Source organism: Homo sapiens, chromosome 8 (assembly GCF_000001405.40).
Source record: "Homo sapiens chromosome 8, GRCh38.p14 Primary Assembly".
NCBI lineage: Eukaryota > Metazoa > Chordata > Mammalia > Primates > Hominidae > Homo > Homo sapiens.
Genome location: NC_000008.11, coordinates 141,347,477 through 141,374,045, shown reverse-complemented (window position 1 = coordinate 141,374,045; position 26,569 = coordinate 141,347,477). Strand labels below are relative to the sequence as shown.

General features: G+C 60.3%; 1 protein-coding gene across 1 annotated transcript, besides 8 other annotated features; it reads left to right on the top strand.

Moving 5' to 3' along the window:
- Positions 298-921: an enhancer, noted in NCBI's record as "H3K4me1 hESC enhancer chr8:142383225-142383848 (GRCh37/hg19 assembly coordinates)". NCBI's record gives its function as "activates a minimal SCP1, AML or CMV promoter by ChIP-STARR-seq in naive H9 embryonic stem cells {active_cell/tissue: H9 hESC(naive)}" and the evidence as "EXISTENCE:reporter gene assay evidence [ECO:0000049][PMID:30033119]".
- Positions 922-1,545: an enhancer, noted in NCBI's record as "H3K4me1 hESC enhancer chr8:142382601-142383224 (GRCh37/hg19 assembly coordinates)". NCBI's record gives its function as "activates a minimal SCP1, AML or CMV promoter by ChIP-STARR-seq in naive H9 embryonic stem cells {active_cell/tissue: H9 hESC(naive)}" and the evidence as "EXISTENCE:reporter gene assay evidence [ECO:0000049][PMID:30033119]".
- Positions 4,901-5,083: a silencer, noted in NCBI's record as "fragment chr8:142379063-142379245 (GRCh37/hg19 assembly coordinates)". NCBI's record gives its function as "represses an EF-1alpha promoter that drives an FKBP-Casp9 reporter gene in an ReSE screen in phorbol 12-myristate 13-acetate-treated (for megakaryocytic differentiation) K562 erythroleukemia cells {active_cell/tissue: K562(+PMA)}" and the evidence as "EXISTENCE:reporter gene assay evidence [ECO:0000049][PMID:32094911]".
- Positions 5,448-5,997: an enhancer, noted in NCBI's record as "H3K4me1 hESC enhancer chr8:142378149-142378698 (GRCh37/hg19 assembly coordinates)". NCBI's record gives its function as "activates a minimal SCP1, AML or CMV promoter by ChIP-STARR-seq in naive H9 embryonic stem cells {active_cell/tissue: H9 hESC(naive)}" and the evidence as "EXISTENCE:reporter gene assay evidence [ECO:0000049][PMID:30033119]".
- GPR20 (G protein-coupled receptor 20) lies at positions 6,760-17,576 on the top strand. Its single transcript, NM_005293.3, has 2 exons — positions 6,760-6,845; positions 16,099-17,576. The coding sequence occupies exon 2, from the start codon at positions 16,123-16,125 to the stop codon at positions 17,197-17,199; it is 1,077 nt and encodes a 358-aa protein (NP_005284.2). The 5' UTR covers positions 6,760-6,845; positions 16,099-16,122; the 3' UTR covers positions 17,200-17,576.
- Positions 13,873-14,469: an enhancer, noted in NCBI's record as "H3K27ac-H3K4me1 hESC enhancer chr8:142369677-142370273 (GRCh37/hg19 assembly coordinates)". NCBI's record gives its function as "activates a minimal SCP1, AML or CMV promoter by ChIP-STARR-seq in naive H9 embryonic stem cells {active_cell/tissue: H9 hESC(naive)}" and the evidence as "EXISTENCE:reporter gene assay evidence [ECO:0000049][PMID:30033119]".
- Positions 16,320-16,941: an enhancer, noted in NCBI's record as "H3K27ac-H3K4me1 hESC enhancer chr8:142367205-142367826 (GRCh37/hg19 assembly coordinates)". NCBI's record gives its function as "activates a minimal SCP1, AML or CMV promoter by ChIP-STARR-seq in naive H9 embryonic stem cells {active_cell/tissue: H9 hESC(naive)}" and the evidence as "EXISTENCE:reporter gene assay evidence [ECO:0000049][PMID:30033119]".
- Positions 16,942-17,563: an enhancer, noted in NCBI's record as "H3K27ac-H3K4me1 hESC enhancer chr8:142366583-142367204 (GRCh37/hg19 assembly coordinates)". NCBI's record gives its function as "activates a minimal SCP1, AML or CMV promoter by ChIP-STARR-seq in naive H9 embryonic stem cells {active_cell/tissue: H9 hESC(naive)}" and the evidence as "EXISTENCE:reporter gene assay evidence [ECO:0000049][PMID:30033119]".
- Positions 21,306-22,285: an enhancer, noted in NCBI's record as "H3K27ac-H3K4me1 hESC enhancer chr8:142361861-142362840 (GRCh37/hg19 assembly coordinates)". NCBI's record gives its function as "activates a minimal SCP1, AML or CMV promoter by ChIP-STARR-seq in naive H9 embryonic stem cells {active_cell/tissue: H9 hESC(naive)}" and the evidence as "EXISTENCE:reporter gene assay evidence [ECO:0000049][PMID:30033119]".

Here is a 26,569-nt window from a genome sequence, read left to right as displayed (position 1 = left end):
TTTTAAAATGAGTAGGCATTTGCATTTATTGAGCTTCTACTATATACCTCCCCACATGCTCAGCAACAGAAAGGAGGAAGAAACCAGCGAAACGTTGGCCGTGTCTCAGAGGAGTCAAACATTTGGCTGGAGACAAACTTGGCCCAGGAAAATCCCAGCAATTGATCCAGGCCCAGACTGCCCTCAGAATTCAGGGCTAAGACAAACCAGTCAGGGCAGGCTTCCTGGAAGAGGTGGCCTTGTGGCTAGAGGCTGGTTTGGATCCGTGGGAAAGGCCTTCTAGGTGGAGAGAACAGTGGGGCAGAGTTGTGCAGGTGGGAAGGCTCTCAGGCTTCTGCAGAGACAGTGAGGAGAGACCTTGGGGTCACATTCTCGGTCCTGAGCTTGTGACCAGTGCTTGGGAGGGCTTGTCCCAGAAACCCTGAACCCAAGCAACTTCCTAAAAGTTGTTCTCAGAGCCAGAGAGTTCAGAGCCTGGGTCTCCACGTCCTGCTCCTTAGAGGTCACCAGTTTCCCTGCCCACCGGTGCCAGATGTCCAGCCAGTAGCTTTTAGCCTGTGCTGGCCTAGGCCATTTTGGCCACTCACAGTGACCAAAGCTCATTGCTATGAGGGAAGGTGGAGGGGTTGGGCAGAGAACAGCAGCTGCCACTGCAGCGTCCCCACACGGACACTACCCCTGGACATCCATGCTCCCTGCTCCTGGGCCAACGAGGAAGCCAAGGTCAGGAGAACCCGGGTACCCGGGGCCGCTCCTCTGAGGCCTGCCGAGCAGACAGACACAGACAGACACAGCTATTCCTGTCCCAAGGGGCCATCGGGGGCTGGGAAGTGCTGAAATAGAAAGCAGGTCCCGAGCCCTGCTGGGGACGTGGCCTGTTCTTGACCTGGGTGGACTGGGCCAACTCTAGAGGGAGTTGCAGCTCAGCCCAGCCTGGCCAGTTTGTGGTGGCTGGCCTGGGCCACCCCGGGCAGGCGCCTGGGCCCAGGAGGGATCTTAGACCTCACACTCTCTCCCCTGGGGTTCCCGGGCTGTGGGGTCCTTGTCACAGTTCCCCAGGTGATGGGTTCCTGGAGCTTCCAGAGAGAAAGCTCTGGCAATTTGGGGGCTTTGTAAGGGCTGAGAGACTCCAGGCCTGGTCCCAGCTCCACCCTCCTAGCTGCATGACCTTGGGCAAGTGACTTTGCCTCTCTGAGCCTCCCTTTCCTCTTCTGAAGATGGGAACAGGATGCCCCATTATAAGATTATTTGGGGGAATTAATAGACCTGAAGTGCTTCCCCTGTGCCTGGCCCGCCAGAAGCTCTCAGTGAGCGGCAGCTGTTATAGACTTGTCTCGGTGAGCGCTGCATGTTGAGTGACTGACCTGCTAGACCAGGGGTTTCAACCCTTGGATCACATCCCAGGAGGGCTCCACGCAGCAGTGCCTCATACTCTGCCCTGTTTTGTGTTCCAGTGCCTGGGATAAGAGGTGCCAAGCAGGGCCCGCATGGCCACCACCCCCGGCCACCAAGCCTGCTGGACCTGTGCTTGCTCTGGCACCTGTGCTGATCCCACTAGAGCCCCTCCCTGGCTGGGCCAAGTGTCAGAGGAGGCTGTGGAGAGAGGGAGCAGGGCCAGGCCCCTGAGAGGGTCCCGGGGCTTCCCCTCTCCCTCTCCCTGGGGAGTCTATTGCCACAGCAGCCCCAACGTGGGTCAGACCCCAAAGGCTCGGCCGCCTCCTCAAACCCCAAGTGGAAGGTCCCGGGGTGGTGGGAGCCCAGTGGCCTGGCCTCTGAGCTCCCAGGTTCCTGCCTGACTCTTCAGGGGCCCAGCTGTGTGAGCCCGAGGGAGGGAAGGGACTTAGTCCCCTTGCTCTCTGTGAGGACCCTCACCAGGAGGTGGGCGGGATGAGAAGTGCTGGTCCAGGCACAGGCCAGGTGGAACGGGACACACGGGAAGCCCCCCACGGTGGCAATCCTCTTCCTGCTGTCTCTGCCCTGGGGGAACCCACCACTCACCCAGCACCTCCTGGGCTGGCCCTGGGTGGGCCTGGAGACCCAGATGGTGGGAACTGCACCCCTGCCCAGCTGCCAGCTGTAACCTGGCTGGCCACAAGAAGGCCAGGGCGTGAAGGGGCACCCCTGCCCAGGTGGCAGGAAGGCTGGCATGGAGCTGAGCTGCCTCGGAGCTTCGATAGCTGAAGCCCCTCTCCGGCCTTCATCTCCACATGTATAAAAGGTGGGGCCAACTTGGCGGGTTCCAAGGTCCTCTGGTCCCAGTGTTCCCCCTGAGGCCCTGCTGCCCCATTCTGTAAGCTAAGACTCAGCTAGCCCCACACGCATTCCACACTCCACACTCAGACCTCACCCCAGGCTCCTGGACCCATGGCAAGGCCAGGCAGAGCCAGTGTGAATCCTGGGAGAGCCTGCAAGGCTGGTCACCAGACCTCCTCCACCAGCAATCCCTCCCGGATTGGGTCTTAGGAGCCTGGGGCTTTCCCTCTGCTTTCTCACCAATAAGCCCCGCGCTGCTGTCCCCCGCCATTCCCTGCGGGGACCCTCCCTGGGCTCCATGGGGCTCAAGGCTGCAGCTTCTTCCGTGTGGGCCCCTTCAGCAGTACCAGCCCACACTGAGTCTCACCACCTTGTGCCAGCTGTGGCCAGGGCCACAGCCCTGCCAGACCCCATGATGAGGCAGTGTTCTGTGGGTGCCCCTTCCCACAGTCCATGAGACTGGGTTTAACAGAAGGGTACTGGGGGGCTGCAAGCCAGGCATGGTTCCAGCCAGGGTCTGCATGCCCCATTTGCTGTGTGACTTTGGACAGGCCTTCCTCCCTTTCTGGGCCTCAGTTTCCCTGTGTGTAAGAGCAGATGTTGAGACAAGATGCCCTGGGGGGAACCCTCAGTGTTGAGCAGGCATAAGGGGGTGCCTTGGGGCACCGAGGGGGCCAGCCCAGAGGGTAGCAGTCCCAGCAGCCACCCTAGGATGACTCCCTAGAGCCCCAGAGCCGCGCGCTAACTGTGCACCAGGCACAGCACCAGGTACCCTGGACGTCCCCAGTTGTGGCTGAGTTCCAGGCATTCAGCCAAGACTGGCCTGGATGATCCCGGACTCTGGGTACTTCCCCACCCACCTCTCAAAGGCTCTGCCCTGCAGGGTCTCATAGCCTGCCCTGGTTCTTCTAGCCTCCACCCCTGGAGCCCCGACATGCTCTGCTACCGTGGGGTCCGCGTCTTCCCCTCAGATAGGAGGAGGCCGCAGACTGGGCCCAGGCTGCCCCTCACTGCTGTGGGCCTTGGGGCTGGTCCTGTCCCTGTACCCCCAGCCCAGTTTCCTTGGTTCCCACTGTGGGGCTGAGCCTCCCTGTGGAGCTGTGATGTGGCCGGCAGGACCCAGCGCTTCCTGAGAGGAGGGACGCCCCTTCCCAGCCGTGAGCACAGGCCACAGGGCCAAGGCTGAGGATCAGAGCAGACAAGGGAGGCGCCAGGCTGGGCTTGAACCCAGGGCTGCACAAGGGGCCCCCACATTCCCTGGACATGCAGGCTCACCTCTCCCTGGGGCAGAGAAAGGCTCCTGCCCACCCCAGCTCAATGGCAGGTGCCTGCCCGCTACCCAGCAAGTCCAGAGTGCAGGAGAGGGCCTGTGGGCACTGGACCCCCCAGGAAGGAGCCTGCAGGTCTCCCGATCACCCCTCATCTGGAAGCTCTGCACTCCCCCTCTGCCCCTCCTCCATAGCTCTGGCCTCTCGAGTAGGTGGGAGTCCTGCAGAGCTGGCTGGCATCACCCCACCTTCGCAGGCCCCCTTGGGAGGACCTCACCCCTGGACACATGGCAGAAAACGGCTGCCAGCCTCCCGGGGCTGTTTACATCCTCGAGTGGCACCAAGACGAGGGTCTCTCAGGAGGACAGACGAGGTCTGCGGTGTCAGGCACCAGCAGGGGTGGCAGAACCCGCCTGTCACCACCATCTGCTGTTCCCCATTATCCTGAGCCCTCTCCACCCCGGGGACTGCTCAGTGGCCCGTTGTTGGCTTCATCCCTCAGGATGGGGACCCTACAGTGCCAGCACTGCCCATGATGGGCGGGGCTTGTCAGTCTTGATTGCAGCGTTATGGGATTCCCAACTGCAGCTGCCACAGCGAGAGGGCCTTGGCGTCACAGGCCAAGGGTGGAGGACAGGAGCCATGGGTCCACCTGGCTCCCATGGAGGTTCACAAGGGGCCACTTCTGCCTCCTGCCCAGGGTGGCCTGGTAGCCCTGCTGGCGGCTCATGTGGAGATATCATTGTGGCGCTTCCCTGCACCCTGTCCCTTGGGGAAGGAGGAATGGTAGGCTGCTGATGCCTCACCGCTGGCAGGGCCTCCAAGGATGCTTCCATGGGCTTGAGAGGGCTCTCCACCAGGCCCAGTTCCCTACAGTGTCTGCCCAAGGGGCCCCTCCCACCCTGCAAAGTGTGCCAGAGCCCAGGATGAGCAGTCCTGCCCTGCGAAGGGCCAGTCAGACACACCTGAAGGGGTCCTGACCCTGGGCACAGCCACTCTCTGACCTCTGACCCCTGACCCCAGTCACAGACAGCCTGGCCTGACCTGCCAGCCTGATAAAGATGACAAGGAGGAAATTGTCCCTGTGCCCTGTCTCCTCTGAGGGTTGTGGAGTGTTGGCCCTGAGCTCGGGACCCCCATCCCTGGTGTCCCCCCAAGAGGATCCCTGGGTCCTGCTGAGAAGAGTCTCCCTGGGGGAGGAGTCAGGGAGGCTGGCGTGGGCTGTGACCCCTCCCCAGGCAGTTCCCCGCTGTTTGCTGGGGGACCGTCTCTGAGATTTCTCTGAGAACAAGCCTGAGAGTGCAAGGCTGGAGCCCCAGGCCCTCAGAGGTGGGCATGAGGCCTGGCACTGGTGCGGTGACTCAGCCACCCTCGCCTGCTCAGGAAATCTGAGCCTCCTCTGGCTCCAGCCCTGCCCAATCTGGGCTGCCTCCAGGCCACCCCCACACAAAAATGACATTGCATCCACCCCCACCTTCCACAAGCCCGGTGAAACCCTGCCTGCCAGGAGCCAGTCCTGGTCCAGAGAGGTGCAAGAGGCTGGTGGCCAGAGACTCCTGTGCCTCTCTGGGCCTCAGTTTCCCCAGCTAAAACAGACACAACGATGTTCTAAAGGAGATAATTGCAGCCTGTGGGCTCAGCCCTGCAGCCGCAGGGAGGCTGCTCCAGAGTGAAGAAACCATCCTCTCCCAGAACTTTCAATGGCTCCCTGTTGCAGCACTCTGGTACCCATAGAGGCTGCTGAGACTCAGTGTAGAAGTCCCCTGCCCACTCCCAGCTTTGCTCCCCAGGAAATATTCTGATGGCCTCCTGTCCCTCTGCCCATCTGGGCTGCCTGCCTCCTGTTATACCTCCCTCTGCCCCTTCCAGGAAGCCTTCCCAGACGGCATCCCTCCCCAGCAGGCTGGGTCAGGACCCTAGGGCCCACCTACTCTCTCCTGTTGGTCTGCATTACAACCAGCCTGAGCTCGGGAAGGCCCAGCCCCTCCCTTGGGGAGCCTTCCCTGAGTCTCCGGTGTGCAGTACAACCCACTCAGCAGGGCCTCGGCACTCAGGCGGCTGGAAGGTTAAAGTGTGAGTATCAGCAGAAGCACACGGGATGGGAACAAGAGGAGATGGTGCTCTCGGCAGAGGAGACACTAACTAAATGGCCCCAACCGCTCCCCGACAACCCCCGCTGCCACCCCAGGCTGGCCACAAGGCCTCCTGGCTCTGAAGCTGTCTGGGGAGAGTGGCCCTCCAGCAGCCCTCTGGGATCAAGCCTGTTGATGAGCTCACGCTTCCTCCAGCACTGAGGTCCGGGTCCCACACGCTCTCCCCACCTGCTGGCCTGGGTCACGTCCAGGTCTTTCCCACACACCTGACCCCACATGCCACATGCCACCGGTGCATGGGTGCAAACAGAGGCCCAGATGCCAGGTGTGCAGGCTGTCGGTCATGGGTACACACAGACACAGCCAAACCCAGGACACATGCAAAACAGAGAGCCATGCAGGAACCCAGGCTTGCGTGGGCTGAAGCTACCATGCACATGCCCCCTCCCGGGAAGGAAATTGGGCTTTCGTGTGCTCCCACCTCCTGTCCCGCACACAGCACGCACAAGTGCCAGCCACCATCTCCTGGATGGTGCAGCTGAGACTCAGCCCCTCCGTGCCTCAGTTTCCCCCTCCTGCCCCCCACACAGCACACACAAGTGCCAGCCACCGTCTCCTGGATGGTGCAGCTGAGACTCAGCCCCTCTGTGCCTCAGTTTTCCCCTCCTGCCCCGCACACAGCACGCACAAGTGCCAGCCACCATCTCCTGGATGGTGCAGCTGAGACTCAGCCCCTCCGTGCCTCAGTTTCCCCCTCCTGCCCCGCACACAGCACACACAAGTGCCAGCCACTGTCTCCTGGATGGTGCAGCTGAGGCTTAGCCCCTCCGTGCCTCAGTTTCCCACCTCCTGCCCTGCACACGGCACACACAAGTGCCAGCCACCACCTCCTGGATGGTGCAGCTGAGGCTCAGCTCCTCGGTGCCTCAGTTTCCCCCTCTGTCTCCAGTGGGTGTGGGGACTCTGGTGCCCCAGGCCCCTCTGTGCCTCGGTTTCTTCTTCTGTCTCCAGTGGGTGTGGGGACTCTGGTGCCCCAGGCACCGTCCCTCAGGCTCTGAGCCTTGACTCCTCCTGGGGGCGGGGAAGGAGCCTGCCCCGCCCCCACCCTGCCTTTGCCCAAAAGGAGCCCCAAGCGCTGGCCTGACGTCAGGCCGTAGGAAGGCGAGGTCCGGGCTGCATGCAGAGCTGAGAGCTGAGGACTCCCATCTCCAGCCTGCCCGGGTGAAGCGCGGTAAGTTCCCCTGTGGGCTGGCCCCAGCCTCCCTCTCCCCAGCTTCCCTAGATAGGAGGCTCCTGAGCTGCTCCCTGCAGGGGTTCTCACCCCCAGCCAAGCAGGAGTGGGAAGGGCAGGGCAGAGAAACTGCCTCCAGATCCGGGCTGGGGAGAGCTCAGAGCAGGTCCTGCTGGACAGGGAGCCATTTCTCAGATGAGAAAACAGAGACCTGAGGGAGAACATGGGCGTGAGTTGGGCTGGCTGCATAAGGGGGAGCTGCGCTGCTAGGTGCCCACCCAACTCTGGATTTCATTCATTCACTCATTCATCCCTCCGTTCAACACTCACCGAGCATCTGCTGGGTGCCCAGAGCTGGGTCTTGGTTTCCCCACCTGGCAAGGCAGCAGGGTGGCCCACAGGCCAAGCCAGGGACAGAGTTGGGGGACCCCAGAGGCACTTGGCAGGCTCTGGGGCCTCAGCCACCACCACCCCGCAGCTGGGGCAGGGCCATGGTGAGGGCTTTGTGGGCATGGGCTCCAAGCGCCATGCTCCCTCTTCAGAGTGCCCGTCCTGCCATCCCACAGCTCAGGCCCTCTGCAGTAGCCTTGGTGCTGTCTCTACCCCTTAGGGGTGGGGAAACTGAGTCCCAGGGAAGGCTTGCTTGCCAGCCCTCAGTGTGGACCTAGAAGCTGGCTCCAGCCCCGCGAAGCTCGCACTGGGACTGCGCTGTGAGAAGGCGGCAGGACAGGGTCCCGAGGGGGCAGCGGGCTGGGAACTGGCCAGCAGCCAGGGTGCTGGCGGGGCAGACGTGGAGCAGCTGGCGACCTCGCAGGACGGGGAATGCACCCCGCAGGAGGCTGGGCCTGTCCACTTGCCCTGTCTTCTTCCTTCAACAGCTGGTCATCCTGGGTCTTCCCTCCCCTCTCCCCCCAGGACTCATCCAGTCGCTGGGCTCCAGGGCGGTCTGCTGAGTGGCCGTGGCAAGTCGCTGCCCCTCTCTGAGCCACACGGTGTGGGCCCATCAGCAAAGGCGGGGTCTGCGGCTGGAGAGCCGGGCGTGGGGGCCATGCAGTTTGGACCATTTCTGAGCAGCTCCTGGAGCCCACGGGGTGGCTTCATTGTCTTCTTGTTAAGTGGTATTAGCATCTCCTCTTTATAGATGAGGAAACTGAGGCTCAAGGAGATCAGAGGGGTATTCTAAAATCATCCACTCCATCACTCAGCAGTGACTCAGTGACTCAGAGGGGCCAGCCAAGGCCAGGGCCCCTGAGGCACTCCAGTTCAGTGAGGGAAGCACAGCGAACAGGAAAGCAGGGACATAGGGAACTGCGCGTGGCAGGGCACTGCGAAGGAAGCCAGGCGGTGCAGGCGTGCGGGGCTGTGGGCTCTGGAGGGCCTCCCTGAGGAGGGGCGTCAGGGCCCAAAGAACCTTAAGTTGATCCCCTCACCATACGTCCCAAAGCCCTCCCCACGCCCCCGGTGTCTCACAGAGCCCTGAACACAGACTCTCCTTCCCACCTCTGGCCCTTCATGCTCACTGTGCCCTTCCTGCTGCCGGGAGCGCTCTTCCCTCTGATTGTCCTGAGGCCCATCCCGGCCGTGACCAGCCACCTCCCACCCTACCCTGAGCTGTCAGCTCGGAAAGGTGGGGCCAGGTCTGCCTGGGACCCATTTGTGCCCGCAGTGCTGGGGTCTAAGTCCTGGTCTGACACCTCCAAACTGCACGGGGCTGTGTGGCCTGGGGCCTCTGATTCCCTCCACACACAGGGCTGGGTGCCGCAGAAGGCTGATCCCAGGCACTGGGACAAAGTGCCAGCAGGCAGATTGAGGCAGAGCTCAGCCCCTCCTGCACCCCAGCTGGGTGAGCCCGGACACATGACTTAGCCCCTCTGTATTGGTTCCCCACAGGCACAGTGGGGCCAGAAACACCCACCCAGGGGCATCTTGAGGGAAGTCAATAAGACCCTGGGAAGGATGAGCCCAGCGGGTGCCCTTCAGATTGTGGGATCATAGCTCTCCCCCTGGGGCAGGGGCATCCAGGGCACTAGGGCATCAGAGGGGCTCAGGGAGAGCTCTGTGGAACAATGACTGTGGGTGCCCGGAGCCTTCACCAGGTGGCACAGGGAGAGAAACAGCATTCCGGGCAGAAGGAACAGCACATGCAGAGGGAAGAGGCTGAGAGGACCAGGCTGAGGAGCTTCAGGCGGAAGGACCAGGCTGAGGCCAGGCAGGTGCACATGACAGAATGCCTGTCCCAGCAGCTCCTGGAGAGGCTGAGGTTGGGGAGGGGTTTCAGGAGCTGCTGCAGCTACGGCTATCCCAGCTAGAGGTGAGCAATGAACTCGGTGATGGGGAGGAAAGGAGGGGCTGGTGGGTGACACGCAGGACCTCCAACTGGCCATGCCCCTCCCAGAGACACCCAGCTAGAGGTGAGCAATGAACCCAATGATGGGGAGGCAGGGAGGGGCTGGCAGGTGACATGCAGGACCTCCAACTGGCTATGCCCCTCCCAGAGACACTGGTGTTTCCGTTAGAGCCGCAGTCTCAGCAAGAGGGCTCTTAGCTGGTGGAACTGAGGCAGAGTCGGGTCAGATGGGGCCCAGGTGTCCTTCCCCACAGAGCTCAGTCTGTGCCCACCAGTGACGTCTCTCTCTGCACTGGGGTGGAGGGAGCCCTGGCCTGTGGGCGTGGGGGACAGGGAGAAAGACTTGGCTTCTGGCCAGGGTCACCTGGGACTTGCTAGGTGACCTGGGGTGAGTCTGACCCCATTTGGAGAGCTCAGCAAGCACCCACCTGCCTCTTGGTGGAAGAAACGGAGGCTCAGACTTATCAAAAACAGCAGATGATATTCAAAAGCAGATGCTGTGAAACCAAGAATAATCATAAAAATAAACAGGCAGACAGTTCCCCGAATCATGGCTATTTTAGCCCTGGAAGGCCATGAGGGCCACGCCGTCTGGGGTGCAGGCTCAAGCACACACAGACCCGTGGTCACACATGCGGCCTCAGGGCCCGGAGAATCCCCTTGTGCACAAACTCCCGGTCCAGAGATGCCTAATCCAGCCCCTCTGCTCCCCAGCCCGCACTCTGCTCCACTCCGGCCTGTGCCGGGTCCTGCCAGTGGACCTGGGTCTGATTCCCAGCCCCACCAGCTCCATGCTGGGTAACCGTGAGGACACCACTCACCCCTCTGGGCCTCCGGTTCCTCATCTGTAAAACCTGGGATTGCTGTGTGGATGCAAAGCGCCCTTAGCAGGTGCTCAGAGCCCCTCTGTGGGGAAAAGGCTGGGCCCGTCCTCCACACGTCCACAGACAGCACACAGGGTCCTGAGCCAGACCCCCAGGCAGGCTCAACAGCCACCCTGGGCCATCTGCTGCCCTGGGGCCGGGGCCACTCTGCTGCCTGGTCTCACATGTGGCAGGACAGAGGCAGACAGGCTGCTGGGCAGCCAAGAGAGAACTCCCAGGTTGGTGGGGTGGGTTTGAGAGGAGCCCAGGGAAGAGAGGACATAGCCCTCCCCACCCACCGGCCAAGGACGGAGGCCGGCATGACCCTGGTGCCCCGCTGGAGGCCTCTGGGCAGGTGCCAGCACCCCAAGCCCAGGGGTCTGGCCTTCCATGGCCGGGTGCCCAGCAGAAATTCAACAAGCTGTGGGTGAGGGCAGGGAGGCAGCAGCCCCCATCAGTGCTCTGGGCATGGACTAGTGGTGTGGCCATTGGGATGGATGGAGCAGGAACCCCCAGGGAGGGGACAGGGTCAAATAGCTTCCATGCTCGATGCTCGCTCCCACCCCTTGGAAGTTCCCAGGACCGTGAGTTTCACAAAGGCTCTGAGAAGTCCTGCACTGAGCACACGTGTTGGCCCTGGCCTCTCCCCACGTGTGAGCGGGCTGGTCCACACAGGGCCCCATCCAGGTGCCAAAACCAGGAGCCTCCCGTGCTCTTATATCGCACGCCTCCCATGTTGGGGGTGTCTGCAGTATTTCTCACTTAGTCCAGCCACCCTGCCTGATTTCATTCATTCATTCAACAAATATGGTTCCCAAAGTCCCAGGTGAGGGAACTGAGGCTCCCAGTGATGAAATGATTTGCCCGAGGCCTCGAAGGTGGCGGGTGGTAGAGCTGGCCTGCAAACCAAAGACCATTGCTATCAAGAGTGGTGATGGGGCCGGGCGCAGTAGCTCACGCCTGTAATCCCAGTAGTTTGGGAGGCCAAGGTGGGCAAACCACTTGAGGCCAGGAGTTTGAGACTACCTTGGCCAACATGGTGAAACCCCATCTGTACCAAAAATACAAAAATTACCCAGGTGTGGCACGGGCACCTGTAATCCCAGCTACTCCAGAGGCTGAGGCATGAGACTCACTTGAACCCAGGAAGTGGAGGTTGCAGTGAGCCGACATTTCGCCACAGCACTCCGTCTCAAAAAAAAAAAAGAAAGAAAGAAAGAGTGGTGATGGGAGATAGAGGGTGGGAAGGAATGTAAGTGTGGACACAATGGTCAGAGTGATTAGGACGGGCTTCCGGGAGGAGGTGTCAGCCTTGCTCGGCTGGGAGGACTCATGGGTAGTGACGATGGGGCTGGGGGTGGAAGCCAATTCCAGACCAGTACCAAGACACTGGGTAGGCAGGTTTCAGAGGGGGCCAGGCCAGGTGGCATTCACCCTGAATGCCAGGTTGAGAAACCAGGCCACACCTTGCCAGCCCTGATGAGGCTTGCTCAGGGCGTTCATTCAGACAAGGGGGAAGACGGGTGCTGCTCTCTGCCAGGCCAATCTGGGTGCTGGGCTGGTGGAACAGATGGGAGCTCAGCCCCCACCCACAGCCCCGCCTCAAGATGCTCAGAGTCCAACAGGGAAGCCTGCAGCACATAGCAGCGCCGTGGGATGAACCCTGGGATTGAGGAAGCGCAGGGTGCCCTGGGAGGATGCACCAGAGAGAGGCAGCCCAGGGAGGAAGAAGGCTTCCTTAAGGAGGCAAGTCCAGGGGGAAGTCCTAAAAATGGGCATGAATAAGCCGAAAGGGAGAGAGCAGGAACAGCTTGGGGTTGGGCCTGGAGGGCGCATGGAGTGTTTAGGCCCCGCTAGTAGTTTCGCCTGCAGAAGCATCAGTCAGGTGCAGTGACTGGAGAGGCACATCCCCAGCCCTGCCCAGCAGTCCAGGCCTCAGGCCCCTCCCAGGGAGAACCCCCAACCCAGCGGCAGCCCCGCCTAGGACGGCTGTTTTGTGATGTGATACCTACGGGGAGGGCATGAGGGACATCCTCCTTCACCCTCTGCCCCCTCCCCTGGAGGAGCTCAGCGAAGCCTTGAAAGGCCGGGGCTCTGGGAGGTGTGCCCACCTGGAGGGGTGGGGGCTCTGGGGGTCTGCCCACCCGGAAGGGTGGGCCAGAAACAGAAAAGAAAGAGATGCCGCAGCACACCTGCCCCTGCCCCGCCACACCTGCAGCAGGTGCTCTGTTCAGCCAAGGCCCAAGACAGCCATGCAGGGCAGCGTGTCCGGCCATTCCCACTTCACAGGAGGAGACACTGAGGCTCAGAGAGGACCCACCCAGGTCAGAGCCCTCCCTCCAGGCTGGCGGGGGCAGTGAGTAGTGTGGGAGCTGGACCTGGTCTAGGCTGCACACCCAGGTTGGAGCAGAGCTCGCCCCCTCGCCCTCTGGGTCCCCCGCTGGCAGCTTGTCCCATACTTTCATCACTTCCTGTGTCTGAGCCCCTACTCTGGGCTGGCACATCAGGACAAGAACCCCCAGGGGAGATTCTATTTTGCCCACTCTACAGATGAGGAAACTGAGGCTCAGAGACTGTAAGGCCACATAGTCCGTTCAGAGATGGAGCCAGGCTTTGGCAGGGCCATCCAGGCCAGAGCCAGGGCTCCATGGCCACACTCCAGGTCCCTACCCTGCTGGGTCTCCACTCACTGACTCTCAGCCCTGGAGAGCAGGCCCTCGTTCCCTCTGTTCTGTCCCCAAGGAAGTACCTGTGTGTGGGTGGGGAGCAGAGCTGGCCTGGGCCAGTGGAAAAGAGAAACCTCCCAGCCCTGGCACAGCCTCCAGGCCCTGAGCCCCAACACCATGTCAGCACGATCAGGACACGGTGCCAGTCCCTGCCCATGAGACTCTGGCCAGTTGGCCCCCGCCATGGAGTCTGCTGTCTCAGACAGACCCAGGGTGCCTGCCAGGAAAGAGGGAGGAGACAGGACCATCTCCCCCACACCCAGGTTTGGCTTAGGGAAACTAGGCTTGGGGACAGGGCCCTGCCTCCCCTCTCCGGCCGGCTCTGAGGGTAAAACCATGCCTCTCCCCTCAGTCCAGGCTACCAGGGCGAGGCAGAGCTGTGGAAGGCACGAGTGACCCCATTCAGCAGATGAGGACGGCCAGCCTACTGACCAGGCCCAGGTCTCAGCTGAGGGAGTGGCAGGGCTGGACTCAAACCCGGGTCTCTGTGCTGGTGACTGCTCATCACCCGGGCCCTCCGGAGAGCAGAGTCTGTGCCTCTCCCACAGGCAGAGCCAGGCTGTCCCAGGAGGGGCGGAACCTTCTCCTTTCCCCAGGCACTCGCCAGGGAGCCACTTCCATGGGCCCCTGCAGGGTCTAGAGTCCCCGCTTGCATTCCTCCTCCTTCTGAACAAAGAGGGTGGTGAGTGGGAGCCCCAGAGAGGCCCCGTAATAATCGAATCGGGACATCCGTCGCTGTGGGAGGCAGGTGGGGGTTGACAATATGGAGACAGAGACAGCCAGACGAAGCTGGGAGAGGAGGGCAGAGACAGGGACAGAAGGTCCGGGCTGAGGGCCCAGGTCGTGGCTGGGATCAGGGCTCAGAGCGCCACAGGAATCAACGCCCATTGTGCTATTAGGATTGGGGTCAGTGTGTGACCAGGGTCAGGGCTCAGAGTGGGACAGGGATCGAGGTTCATCACATTACTGGGATCATGGCTCAGTGTGTGACCAAGATGAGGGTTCAGCTTTGTTTGAGATCAGGGTCAGACCCTTAGTGCGGGGAATCAGAGCATGCTTTGCTAGCTCCCTCTCCTCTCCGGTCTGGCCTCTGGGGTGTCCAGCACATTCTGCCCATCCCCCCAGCTCCAGAGACCGCAGAGCCCCCACATCCCTAGCCAGGACCCCAGCACCGCAGCGTTGCTGGTGAGCCTGCTGGGCTGGCCCTGGGGAGTTTTCTGGGACAGCAGAATTCCCAGGGGCCAGCATCACCCTGGGACTCACTCCCACAGGAAACGTTCTGTGTTGTTTATGATTTGTCTCTGATTGGGACACTAATATAGGCCCCGTGCAGACAAATTGGAAAAGCAAAAGGCACATAGAAAGGAATCCCAAAATACTTTTTTGGCCATGCAGTCCCTCAGTCCAGCTGCAAAGCCGCCTCGACCTTTTCTGAGAGCGTTTCATCCACAGCAGGGGAGGGACGCATCTCTTTCGGGGGGACCTTCTGGGGCTCCTGAAGCCCACAGCCCTGAGACGCCAGGTTCCCAGCCCCCATGTGCCCAGCCTCCTCTCCTCCCCTGGCTGCCTGCTGTGCCCCCAAATCCCGTCTCTGGTGGCACACCTGGGCTGAGGGAGGACAGACCTATTCATCCAACAAATGCACCCATCAATGCCCGCGTGTCAGGGCCTGGAGATAGAGAGCTTGCTTGCAGTCGGGGGGAGCTGGGAGCTGAGCCTGGGCCCTTGTGTGGTGGGGGTGGCAGGAGGGGCTGGGCACAGGCCTGGGCAGCACTTGACTCCTCCCAGCAGCCTCCAGGGTAGCACGCACCCAGGGCTGGGGTCCCAGAGGCAGAGGGCATGCTGGGTGACCTCATGCAGGCACTGACCTCTCTGACTCTGAGGAAGAAGGTGGCCGCCGACTGGAGGGACCTGGCCCTCTGAAAGCAAGAGTTCTTTTGCTGCCCTGAGCCAGGCCAGGGGCTGTTTGAAGGCAGGGCTCATTGTTCCCCAGGGGTGGGATGGGGCCACGCACTGGTCAGAGGGAGTGGCGGGGCACAGCCTGTTTACAGCAGGGGCCACCAGGAGGGGAAGGGGTAAGTGTCCTCCCTTCTCCAGCAGGTGGGGGAGGGGCGCTGTGCAGAAGAAACGGCCCACGAGCCTCCCCACCCTGCTGGCCCCAAAGACTTCTCCTTTCTCCTGAAAAAGCCAGAAATGCCCTTATTTGGAGGGTCAGCCCAGCTGTAGGGTGGGGGTAGGGCCGTTAACCCTTCATTTATAAATAGAGGGATAAATCACTGCCGAGTTAAACACGCCAGGGCAGGAACATAAACAGAGTGGGTGGCTCCGGCACAGCCCCTCGCCCGCCCCCCACCCTGGCCCCCCTGCCCAGGCCAGACGGGAGCTCGGTGTTTATTTGACTCACACTCTGGCTCCAGGCTTCAGCCCCAACCAGCCACCCCACAGGGGCCTCTGTCTCCTTTTCTGTAGTTTGGGGGGATCATAGGGGTGCCCGCCTCTCAGGGCCAGTAGGAGCCTGGGGTGCCCAGTGAGACTGGTCCTTGGCTCCCATGCAGCCCCACTGGACAGCCTAATTCCCTTTGTAAAGGTCCCTCATGAGGACCCCCATCCAGGGCATTGACCTGATGCTGGCCTAGGAGGAGGGGAGAACAGATGGGTGGTCCCGGAGGATGGGGGCCATGACGGTGGGTGTGGGGACAGGGGAGTGGGCAGGGCAGTCAGAGGTCCCCACCATGAACAAGGCTCTGTCCCAGCAGAACTGGGTCATCAGCCACCAACTCTGCTGGCGCTGCCGTGCTGACCCGCTTGCTTAGTCACCCCAGCAGCAACGCGATCCCAGTGACATGGATTAGGAAGCAGGTAGAGAGGTTAAGTGGCCTACCCGAGCAAGCACACTAGTCAGTGGCACAGCTGGGGCTGGAGCCAGGCCCTGGAACTGCACACTGGAGCCCCGTGGTCTTGCCCTTATCAGCTCTCCATCCCGAGGACAGCCCTGCACCGCACGTGTTTCCGCCTCCCCCTCGTGCCAGGACGGTCGCAGAAACCTCCGTATTTTGTCGAGTCTCCACGCTGGCAAGTGCCAGTCCTGGAATTTGAACACGCGTCTGACTCTGAAAGCCTGTGCCTTTTCTGCTGCTGTCCGAGGCTCCCTCTGGGTAGAGCCAAGGGAGCAGGCATTTGAGGCCCCAGCCAGGCGAGGGCATGGAGAAGGGGGATGCTGGGCGTGCAGGGGCAGACGGGCCAGCTGAGTTCTGGGCCTCAGGGCAGGGCTTAAGGCCAGGCTGGCGCCTGGGGTGACCTGGTCTCCTTGCTTCCAGGCCTGGGGTGTGCTGGCTGCCGTCATGCCCTCTGTGTCTCCAGCGGGGCCCTCGGCCGGGGCAGTCCCCAATGCCACCGCAGTGACAACAGTGCGGACCAATGCCAGCGGGCTGGAGGTGCCCCTGTTCCACCTGTTTGCCCGGCTGGACGAGGAGCTGCATGGCACCTTCCCAGGCCTGTGGCTGGCGCTGATGGCGGTGCACGGAGCCATCTTCCTGGCAGGGCTGGTGCTCAACGGGCTGGCGCTGTACGTCTTCTGCTGCCGCACCCGGGCCAAGACACCCTCAGTCATCTACACCATCAACCTGGTGGTGACCGATCTACTGGTAGGGCTGTCCCTGCCCACGCGCTTCGCTGTGTACTACGGCGCCAGGGGCTGCCTGCGCTGTGCCTTCCCGCACGTCCTCGGTTACTTCCTCAACATGCACTGCTCCATCCTCTTCCTCACCTGCATCTGCGTGGACCGCTACCTGGCCATCGTGCGGCCCGAAGGCTCCCGCCGCTGCCGCCAGCCTGCCTGTGCCAGGGCCGTGTGCGCCTTCGTGTGGCTGGCCGCCGGTGCCGTCACCCTGTCGGTGCTGGGCGTGACAGGCAGCCGGCCCTGCTGCCGTGTCTTTGCGCTGACTGTCCTGGAGTTCCTGCTGCCCCTGCTGGTCATCAGCGTGTTTACCGGCCGCATCATGTGTGCACTGTCGCGGCCGGGTCTGCTCCACCAGGGTCGCCAGCGCCGCGTGCGGGCCATGCAGCTCCTGCTCACGGTGCTCATCATCTTTCTCGTCTGCTTCACGCCCTTCCACGCCCGCCAAGTGGCCGTGGCGCTGTGGCCCGACATGCCACACCACACGAGCCTCGTGGTCTACCACGTGGCCGTGACCCTCAGCAGCCTCAACAGCTGCATGGACCCCATCGTCTACTGCTTCGTCACCAGTGGCTTCCAGGCCACCGTCCGAGGCCTCTTCGGCCAGCACGGAGAGCGTGAGCCCAGCAGCGGTGACGTGGTCAGCATGCACAGGAGCTCCAAGGGCTCAGGCCGTCATCACATCCTCAGTGCCGGCCCTCACGCCCTCACCCAGGCCCTGGCTAATGGGCCCGAGGCTTAGTCAGCAGGGCTCTGCCAGGGGCCGAAGGTCAGGACTCATCTGGGCATGCCAGCGTGGACACCCACCATGCCAGGGGTGGCAATCGGTTCCATCTCGATTGATTGGTGATGGCTACCCAGAGCACCGCATTGAGCGTCTAAGGCCACTGTGCTGTGGTTGATTAGCAATGTCTGCCACTGGCTCCGATGGGATGTGGTGGCCTGAATGCCGGTGATTTGCTGTTCCTGGGGTATAGCACGTCCACTGAAAACTCACAGGGGTAGCCGGGAGCTGCTCCTCACTTTGGCCAGTTTGTCTCCAGAAGGAGTTCCTCAGAAAAAAGGGCACAGTGGATTCCATTGATTAGAAGGATGAGATGAAAAAGAAAAAAGAAAAAAGGACAAAGATTATTTAGGTGCTGGGAATTCCCAAGAGAGTTAAGAAACAACCTGAATTCCCGAGAGAGCTAACAACAACAATGCTCCCTCCAACACACACACAGGAGGAAGGACAAGGACAGAAAGAAAAGGCCAGGGAGCATTCGTGTTGCATTAATGGAGGTGGGGGGGGGTGCATGTCTCTGCAAGACCCCCCCACCTGAGGCCTCCGTGAATTGCACGATAAAACGGCAGACACCCACAGGCCGCTCTGCTGTGAGCAAGCACTGTGATATCTAGGTTGACACTTGAACCCACAACAACCCACAAAGGAGACGCTACTTTTCATCCATTTCTTGGTGCTGGAGGGGTCAAGTGACACACACAGGGGCCACAGCTGGGAAATGGCAGGGTCAGAATGAAAACCAGCCCCACCTCCTCCAGTGCCCTTGCACCTCCTTCCACAGAGAGTGCACGATCATCCCAAAGCCCCCACTCTAGGAATGGCCTCAGAATGGCTCACCTGCTGCCCCAGGTAGAGGCAGTGTTCACAGCCCCATCCTATGGATAAGAAAACCAAGAACAAAGTCACGCAGCAGTGAACCCAGGCATGCCGGGTTGTGGCCACCATCTCCCCATGCAAACAGCCATTTTCCTCCCCCCGGGGGCAGAGAGGACGTGACCAGCTGCTCTGGCCCAGCTCACTATGAGTCCCCATGCCTTCACTAGGGAGGGAGCTTTTCTCTGGCTGGGGCCTCTGATCATCTCCTCAGAGCTGGACTCCAGGATTTCCTCCCACGTGCCTTCTGCCGAGCGTCCAAGCTCCCAGCCCTTTCAGGACTGGTAATGGGGAAGGGAGCCTGTGGTGAGGAAGAGGAGTGTGGGGCATCCCTGGCACTTCCGGCTCTGAGGCCCTGCCATCAGACCTGGCCATAGCCACTGAAGCAGGCGAGATGGGCTCAGGTCCTCAGGCCAGGCCTTTGGCTACAGAGAAGTCCTACACACTCAGGGTGACCGTGGCCTGTGTGGCTGGGAGCAGGAGGGGGAGGAGGAGGAAAAGGCCGGGGCTCCCCGATTCAGCTCGAGGCAGAGTCTCCTGACCCCAGTTTAGGGTCCTGGACTTTATATCCCCATGTTACAAATGAAGAAACTGAGGCTCAGAGGGAGAAAGGGGCTTGCCAAGGTCATAGAGTGAGTGCCTGAGTCATCCAAGGCCAGTATTGTCCTCACCAACCCCAGCTGTGGCCATGTGGAGCAGCTGGGGTGGGGGGCACCGGCCCAGAGGAGTCAGAGGCGTGCCCCGCAAGGTGGTGGAACTGGGAGTGCTGCCAGGGTTACTTCCTCCCTGGGTCCGGATGCCCGAGAAGCAGTGGGTATCACCATGGCCGCCAGCATTCTTGATACTTACCAGGCACCAGGCACAATTCTGGAACCTTCCCCCAGCCCCCAGCTCTCGGGTGCTGCTCAGAGAGGGGCCGTGGCTTACCAGGGATGCAGGGTTCCACAAGGCAGAGGGGCCCAGCGTTCAGGAAAGGACGTGGCTGGGGGACAGGGCTGTGCATGCAGAAAAACCCCGCTGACCACAGGTGCAGCATTCACGGCGACTTTCAGGCAAGCAGGCACCAACAGCCAGCGAGCCATCATTCCCAGGGCTGCGAGCTGGCACCCACGTGGTCACATGCCTAGAGCTGAGGAGTGAGGGGTCAGGGCTCAGGTGTCCTGCCCAGCCCAAGCCATGAGCTTCTTCCAGGCTCATGTGGCCCAGCAGTCCCTGAATGGCCTTGCTTACCTGGGACCCCTCCACCCACGCTCACAAGTCATCCAGGGCCAGGGACTCTGGACTCCATTCCTCCAGGAGCTGTGGATCCTCTTGCTCCATCTTAGGGGGCGCCCCAAGCCCCAGAGACTACCTGCCGGCTCCCACTCCCGCCCCTCAAGCAAGCTCTGCACGTGGCCTAGAGTATGACACCCCTCTGCCCTTGGTCCCGCACTGTACTGTGAAGACCTCTCCAGCCCAGGGCTGCAAGGAGGCAGGGGCCAGCGGGAAGGAGTGCTAAGATGAGGGGGAATGGCCTGGGCAAAGGTAAGGCCAAGCGCCCGCCTCGCTGGGGCCAGTGAAGGGCCTTCCATGCAGCTTCCCAGCCCCTCCCCTCCCCTACCAGTCTTCCCGGCCCCTTCCCCGCCAGTCTTCCCTGCCCCTCCTCCACCGGTGTTACGTGCCCCTCGGGCCTTTGGCCTCCCCATCAATGACCCCCAGCCTGGCTCCATTCCTGGTTGTCACTCTAATTCACGCTAAAGAGTGAATGGCTGACACTTGAGGATTGCTGTGCTTGAAGAGGCAGGGCTTGCAATTTTTCTGGAACAATCCCTTTCTTCAGGAGGAGGGGTCTCTAAGGCAGGTGAGCCAGGTCCCCTCCTTGTCCCCACATCTGAAATCCAATCATTCAACTTGGGTTCCTCGGGCCTCAGAGGCTTCTCAGACTGTAAGAGGCCGGGAGGGGAAGGACATCCTGTCCGAAGCGGCAAGTGCGTCCACTACCACTCATGCTGGAGAGGACAGGCCGCCTGTCTTCTGTGGCCAGGGACACAGGCTTGGGGCCCACCCTCAGACCTCTGAGAACTGCCTGCCAGCCCCCGATGCAGAACCCTTGATAGGCAAGCCTCAGTTTCTCCACACCCCACTCCTCTTTCTCCTCTCCTCAGCCTTACAGCTGGAGGGCAGGGGGCTGGGGAAGGGGGTCACCCCAATGCCCTGGACTGGGCCCCACAGCTCCCCCGGCTGCTTGCTTCCTTCTCCTGACGGCCGGCTCCTTCCCACTTCAGCCTCCTCTGTGGGCACCGAGGCCCAGGAGCTTCAAAAGTCAGACCAAGACTGTCCTTGGTCCCACAGGGGCAGAGGTGAGATCTGTGCGTGCCCCCTCTCCACACTCACGGGGACAGGGCGTGAGATCTTTGCGCCCCCTCCCCATGATCTCCCTTTCCAGATTTTCAAAACGCCCAAGTGACGTGAAATGGTGTGTGTATTTATATCCGACGTAAACAATCTCCTTCACGAGATGTCCTCGTCTGGAATTAAAGCTGTTTATTCTATTCTTGCCCACGACTCTGGTCCTGGGCTGGTGGGGGACATGGAGCTGGCGGAGGGTATGGAGCAGGGTGGCAGCCCTACGCACGCCCCAACTCTGTGTCCTGCGGACCAGCAGGGCTCCACAGGGAGGCAGCGGCAGTGGTTTTGTGGTTTTGTCATCCCTGCTGGGAGGCAGATTTAGGGGCCTTGAGCCCTGCCCAGCTCTGATGGGCAGGGGATGGAGGGGGCACAAGTGGCTGACTTGCCAGCAGGGTGTGGGCACAGCAGCTGGGTGGGGGGCATGGACCAGCAGAACAAGGCGCTCCATCCCTGATCCCGAACCTGCCTACCCAGGGCAAGGACGTGGAGGTGGGCGAGGCAGCCAGACCACCCACAGCCACTGAGTCCTATCATATCAGCAGAGATATGGCCTAGAGGGAGAGGGAGGGGATAGGACAGCTGGTCCAACACACCAGGGAGAGGGAGCACTGGCCTCCCTGTGGGCCTACTAAGTGCCACTGAGTGGCCCCTTCACTGAACCTGGGAGGGTGAGATGACCACCTCCATTCCTAGAGGAGAAACTTAGGCTTTGGGGGTGGTCAGGGAGGGGGCTCAAACCAGGGCCCCCAGGTGCCCAGTTCTCGGTCTCTGGTCTGGCCCAGCAGAGCTCTGGGTGGGGAGGCGCTGTCTGGGGGCTCATCACTCCCACAGTCTGGCACCCGCGGCAGCCGGAGGCGTCTGGATGTAAATATTAGGGCCTGTTTAGATTAAAGCTCCATTAATAGCAGGAAATGTCGCCTGGGTGCCTGCCCCAGCTTCCTGGAGGCCTGAAGGCATGGAGCGGGGTGGGGGTGCACTATCTGCGCTGGAGACCCCCACCGTGTGCCCTATTGGAGCTGGACACCCCCTATCTCCACACCCGCACACCCTGCTTGCCACCTGGCTTAGCAGTTCTGACTCCAGCCTCCCTGCCTCTTCACACACAGCCCCTCCTCTCTCCTTCAGGGCCTCTGCAGCCCAGCGCTCTGTGCTCCCCACCCCTCACGGGATGAGAGGGGACCCACGTGGCCACATCCGCCCACCCTCCAGAGCTGGGCCCCCACCCGAAGGGGTCTGTGCACCCAATTCACAGCGGAGAAAACTGAGGCTTAGAGACATCATGGGACCAACCCAGCGTTCCCAGGCGCCACCTCAAAAAGGAGCTGGAATTCCCCTCCCAGCCCTGCCTGACTCCAGGGTCAAGGCCACCCCCTACATCCTGACCCCCCACCAGAAAGCTGTGGGCCAGGGAGAGGGGGCAGTCAAGCTCAGCGTCTGCAGAACGTCTCTGGCTGTGGAGGGGCGGGCCCAGGTGCAGGAGGGAGTGGAGGGGTGAGTAGGAAAGGTGGGAGGAGATAGAGGGGCCGAGGGGAGGGGCTGCGGCTGGAGGGCCAGGACAGGCCTGGGGAAGTGGCTCCGCCCATGAGACCACACTCTCCTGCTCCCAGTCCTGTCCCCTGCCATTCCCTCCCCCTGGATGGTCCCTCACCCCATCTCCTCGGACCACCTGCTCCATGACTCCTGGCCCCCGCCCCACTGGCCCAGCAGCCTGTGCCCAGCCCCAGCCAGGGCCTTCCGCTTGTCAAGTCCCACCCCCTCCTCTGCCCCTACTCTTCCTGGGGCTGCCTCTTGAAACTGATTCCTCCCCACCCCCACCCCAGGACAGGCCACAAGGCCCAGCCTCACCCTCCAGACTGGACCCTGCCCCACCTTTCCTCGGCCTCACTGAGCCCTCAAGGACTCAGCACGGATGACCCCTTCACCATCCCTCGGCTAGTTCTGGGCCTCCAGGTGTGTCTACCTAACTCTCCCCTGCAGCACCTCTCCAGAACTCAGCTGGAGCTGAGGCCAGGCCCCCTGCAGAGCCCTGGGGAGTCCTGTGCTCTCGTGGCTCAGCTGCAGGGGTGCTCAGATCCTACCCCCACGTGGCCAGCCCCAGGGAGAACAGTCACGTGTTGGGCACAGGACGGGGTCACCCAGGAGGGCTCCAATGAGGAAGAGGTGCTCGACGTCATTCCCTCCTGGTCCTCTCTTTGCCCACCTGGGCCAGGAGGGACTTCTTCCAGATGACTCCCAGCTGGGCCTCTCCTGGAGGGTGTGGTGCTGGGAGCGCCAAGTGCCGCGCAGACCTGGACAGGCTGGCAGGGCCAGGGGTGTCGCACCCCCGTTTTACAGATGAGCTCACCTGCTGCAACCACACACCCTCCTGCCTAGTCCAGCTCGGCCCCTGATTCGCTGATTCCAGGTCACCTCTGAGCCTGGGCTTTGCCCCTGTAGGTGGGAGCCTAACACCAAACCGCAGGTGCCCCTCACACCCGCCCAAGGGAGGCAGCGGAGGCCTGGCTGCTCAGGGGTCCCCCGAGACCTCAGCCATGTCCCTGCCCCTCTCTGGGCCTCAGTTTCCCCATCTGTAATCCAGAGCTTAGAACAAATGGTTCCCTAGCCCTGGTGTGCGAGGCACCCACCCAGTGCCTCTGGGCCCTGCCCACCTCCTCTGCTGCCCCGGCCCTCAGCACAGCCTCTGCCTATCACGCCTGCATGGGGACGCCCTCACAAGTTGACGCCAAGGGCTGACGTGGGAAAAGCTCTTGTGTTTATAAGCCAGCCCCAGGCTCTGAGTCTGTCCTTCTCCTACAGCCCCCCAGCTTCCCAGGGCACCAGCGTGGGAGTCCTGGACAGAGAGGGGAACTCGCCCGGCACCACAACCCAGGGAGGCCTCGGGACACTCTGCTGAGATGGAGTGGGGGTGGGGCATGAACCTGGGGGGAGGAGTGGGCCAGGTGGGCTGTCACTTGTCCTGCACTGGAACATCAGGGACCCGGGTGCCTCCCTGGCGTGTCACAGCATCGAGGGGCCCCTGGGTGTCCAGCGTGCTGTCTGACCACCCGGTGAGAGCTGCCCTTCGGACTACCACTTGACCCCAAGGGCCAGTCGGGAAATGCCACATCATCTATGTGCTCACTATTTCAATGACATTATAGCATCACTGGGTTTTGGGAATCCTCGGTGTTTTACATAATGGGAGTCCACAGGCATCTTCAGCCACCAAGAGTTCCTGGGGGAACAGGCACTGACCATCTGAACCTGGTGTGCCTGGGTGGGGCTCCCAGGGGACTGGGAGGGCTGGGGCCACCACTCTCCTGGTACCTGCCCTACTGTCCATGAGAGGCTCATCCCCTCCCAAATGCATTGCACATTTTACAAACTATTCTGCTTGGAAACTCAGCAAATGAGCTACCTGTGGGGGAAGGGGGCAGCACGGGGGCCCAACACCCATCAGACTTCACATCGGGGCCAGCCTGGGGGCTGAAGGACATCGGATCCCCTGTGTACTGCAGGCATCCAGGCGGTACCAGTGGCCTGGGGTCAGGGTCCTCCACTCACCCCCACGGGTGCCCCTCTTAGTGGCCTGGTGGGGGTGCAGGGTTGAGGTCCAGGAGTCTGAATCCCCCACCTCAACCATCCTCTCCAGAACAAAGCTATGGAAGGGTTTTGGGGAGCTCCCAGAACCCTAACTCGGGAGATCACAGAGAGGCTGCCACAGCCCAACCCAGAGCAGGCCCTCCAGAATACAGCCCAGGTAACAGGATGGCCCAGCCGCCAGGCCCCTGTATCACACTAGCCCCTCAGCAAGTTACGTGTCTTTCCTAAGCCTCAGTTTCCTCCTCTGTCAAGGGGAGATTGCGGACACCCTCTGCCTTAAGGCAAGGTTGCGAGAATTAAGTGAGTGTGTGTGGATCTGTGTGTAGGCACATGTTATGCATGCCTGCGTGTCTGTGTGTCTACATGTACGCAGGCATTCATGTGTACATGCAGGAATGTGTGTGTGTGTGTGTGTGTGTGTGTGTGTGTGTGTCTCAGTCTACTTTCTGTTGCTATAACCACATGTGCAGAACACCACAAACTGGCTAATTCCTAATGACTAGGAATTAATTGGCTCAACAAATTCTGGAGGCTGGGAAGTCCAAGATGGAGGGGCCCCATGTGGTGAAGGCGAGACAGATAGAGAGACAGACAGAGACAGAGAGTGTGCCAAACTTGTCCTTTCCCAAGGAACCCACTCCCAGGATGATGAACCATTCCCTGCTTTTACCTTTTGTTGCTTTGGGGGAAAAAGAACCATTCCTGAGATAACGTATTAATCCATTCATGAGGGTGGTGCCCGCATGACTCAAACACCTCCCAGTGGCCCCTCATCCCAACACTGTCACACTGGTGATCGAGTTTCTGACATGTGAACCTAGGGGCACCCGTGCAAACTGCAGCAGTGTGCATGTGTGAGTGTGTGTGTCCATGTACCTATGTACAGTCATGCGTCACTCACTGACAAGACACATTCTGAGAAATGCATCATTAGACCATTTCCTCATTAGGGGACCGTCACAGACTGTCCTTACACAAACCCAGATGGAATGGCCTCCAGCACCCCTCGGCTCTACACCGTAGCCTTTGCTCCTAGGCTGCAAACCTGTACCGCGTGTTACTGTACTGAGTCCTGTGGGCGACTGTAACACGGTGATAAGTATGTGTGCAACTAAACAAATCCACACATAGAAAAGGTAACGCACTGTGCCACAGTGTTACGATGGCTGGGACATCACTGGGCAACAGCCATTTTTCAGCTATTTGGAATCTGACAGGACCACTGTCATATACGCAGCCCATCACTGACTGAAACGATGTTATGTGGAGCATGGTTGTATATGTGTCTGCGTATCTGTGTGTATGTACGTGTATATGTATGCGAGTCTGTGTGTACATTGTGTATGTATGTGCATGTGTATGTATGTGTATATGCATGTGAGTCTGTGTGTGTGTTTGTGAGTCTGTGTATGTATTGTATATGTGATGTGTGTATGTGCGTGTGTGTACGTACGTGTGTGTACGTGAGTCGCTGTGTGTGTCTGTGTATGCACGTGTGTGTATGTTTGTGTTTGTATGTATACGTACATGTGTGTATGTGTGTATGTGAGTCTGTATATGTGTGTGTACATGTATTTACATTTGTGAGTGTGTGTATGTACCTATGTATATGTATATGTGCATGAGTCTGTGTGTACATGAGTCTGTGTGTGTGTGTGAGTCTGTGTGTGTCTGTGTGTGTCTGTGTGTGTGTCTGTGTGTGTATGTGAATCTGTGTGTGTCTATGTGTATGTGAGTCTGTATGTGTGTGTATGAGTGTGTGTGTATGTGAGTCTGTGTGTGTATTTGAGTCTGTGTGTGTCTGTGTGTATGTGAGTCTCTGTGTATGTGAGTCTGTGTATATGTGAGTCTGTATGTGTGTGTGTCTGTGTGTATGTAAGTCTGTGTGTGTCTGTGTATGTGAGTGTGTGTGTGTATGTGAGTCTGTGTGTGTATGTATATGTGTGTGTATGTGAGTCTGTGTGTGTGTGTGAGTCTGTGTGTGTCTGTGTGTGTGTGTCTGTGTGTGTATGTGAATCTGTGTGTGTCTATGTGTATGTGAGTCTGTATGTGTGTGTATGAGTGTGTGTGTATGTGAGTCTGTGTGTGTATTTGAGTCTGTGTGTGTCTGTGAGTATGTGAGTCTGTGTATTTGAGTGTGTGTGTGTCTGTGTGTATGTGAGTCTCTGTGTATGTGAGTCTGTGTATATGTGAGTCTGTATGTGTGTGTGTGTCTGTGTGTATGTAAGTCTGTGTGTGTCTGTGTATGTGAGTCTGTGTGTGTGTGTATGTGAGTCTGTATGTGTGTGTATGTATGTGTATGTGTGTGTGTATGTGAGTCTGTGTGTGTATGTGAGTCTGTATGTGTGTGTATGTGAGTATGTGTATGTGTGTGTGTATGTGAACCCTGTCTCTTCTTTTGGTGTGTGTGTGTGTGTGTGTGTGTGTGTCCTCCCATGGTGTTTGGCACTCAATCAGTGATTGAACTGAGCTAATGAAAGGAGCA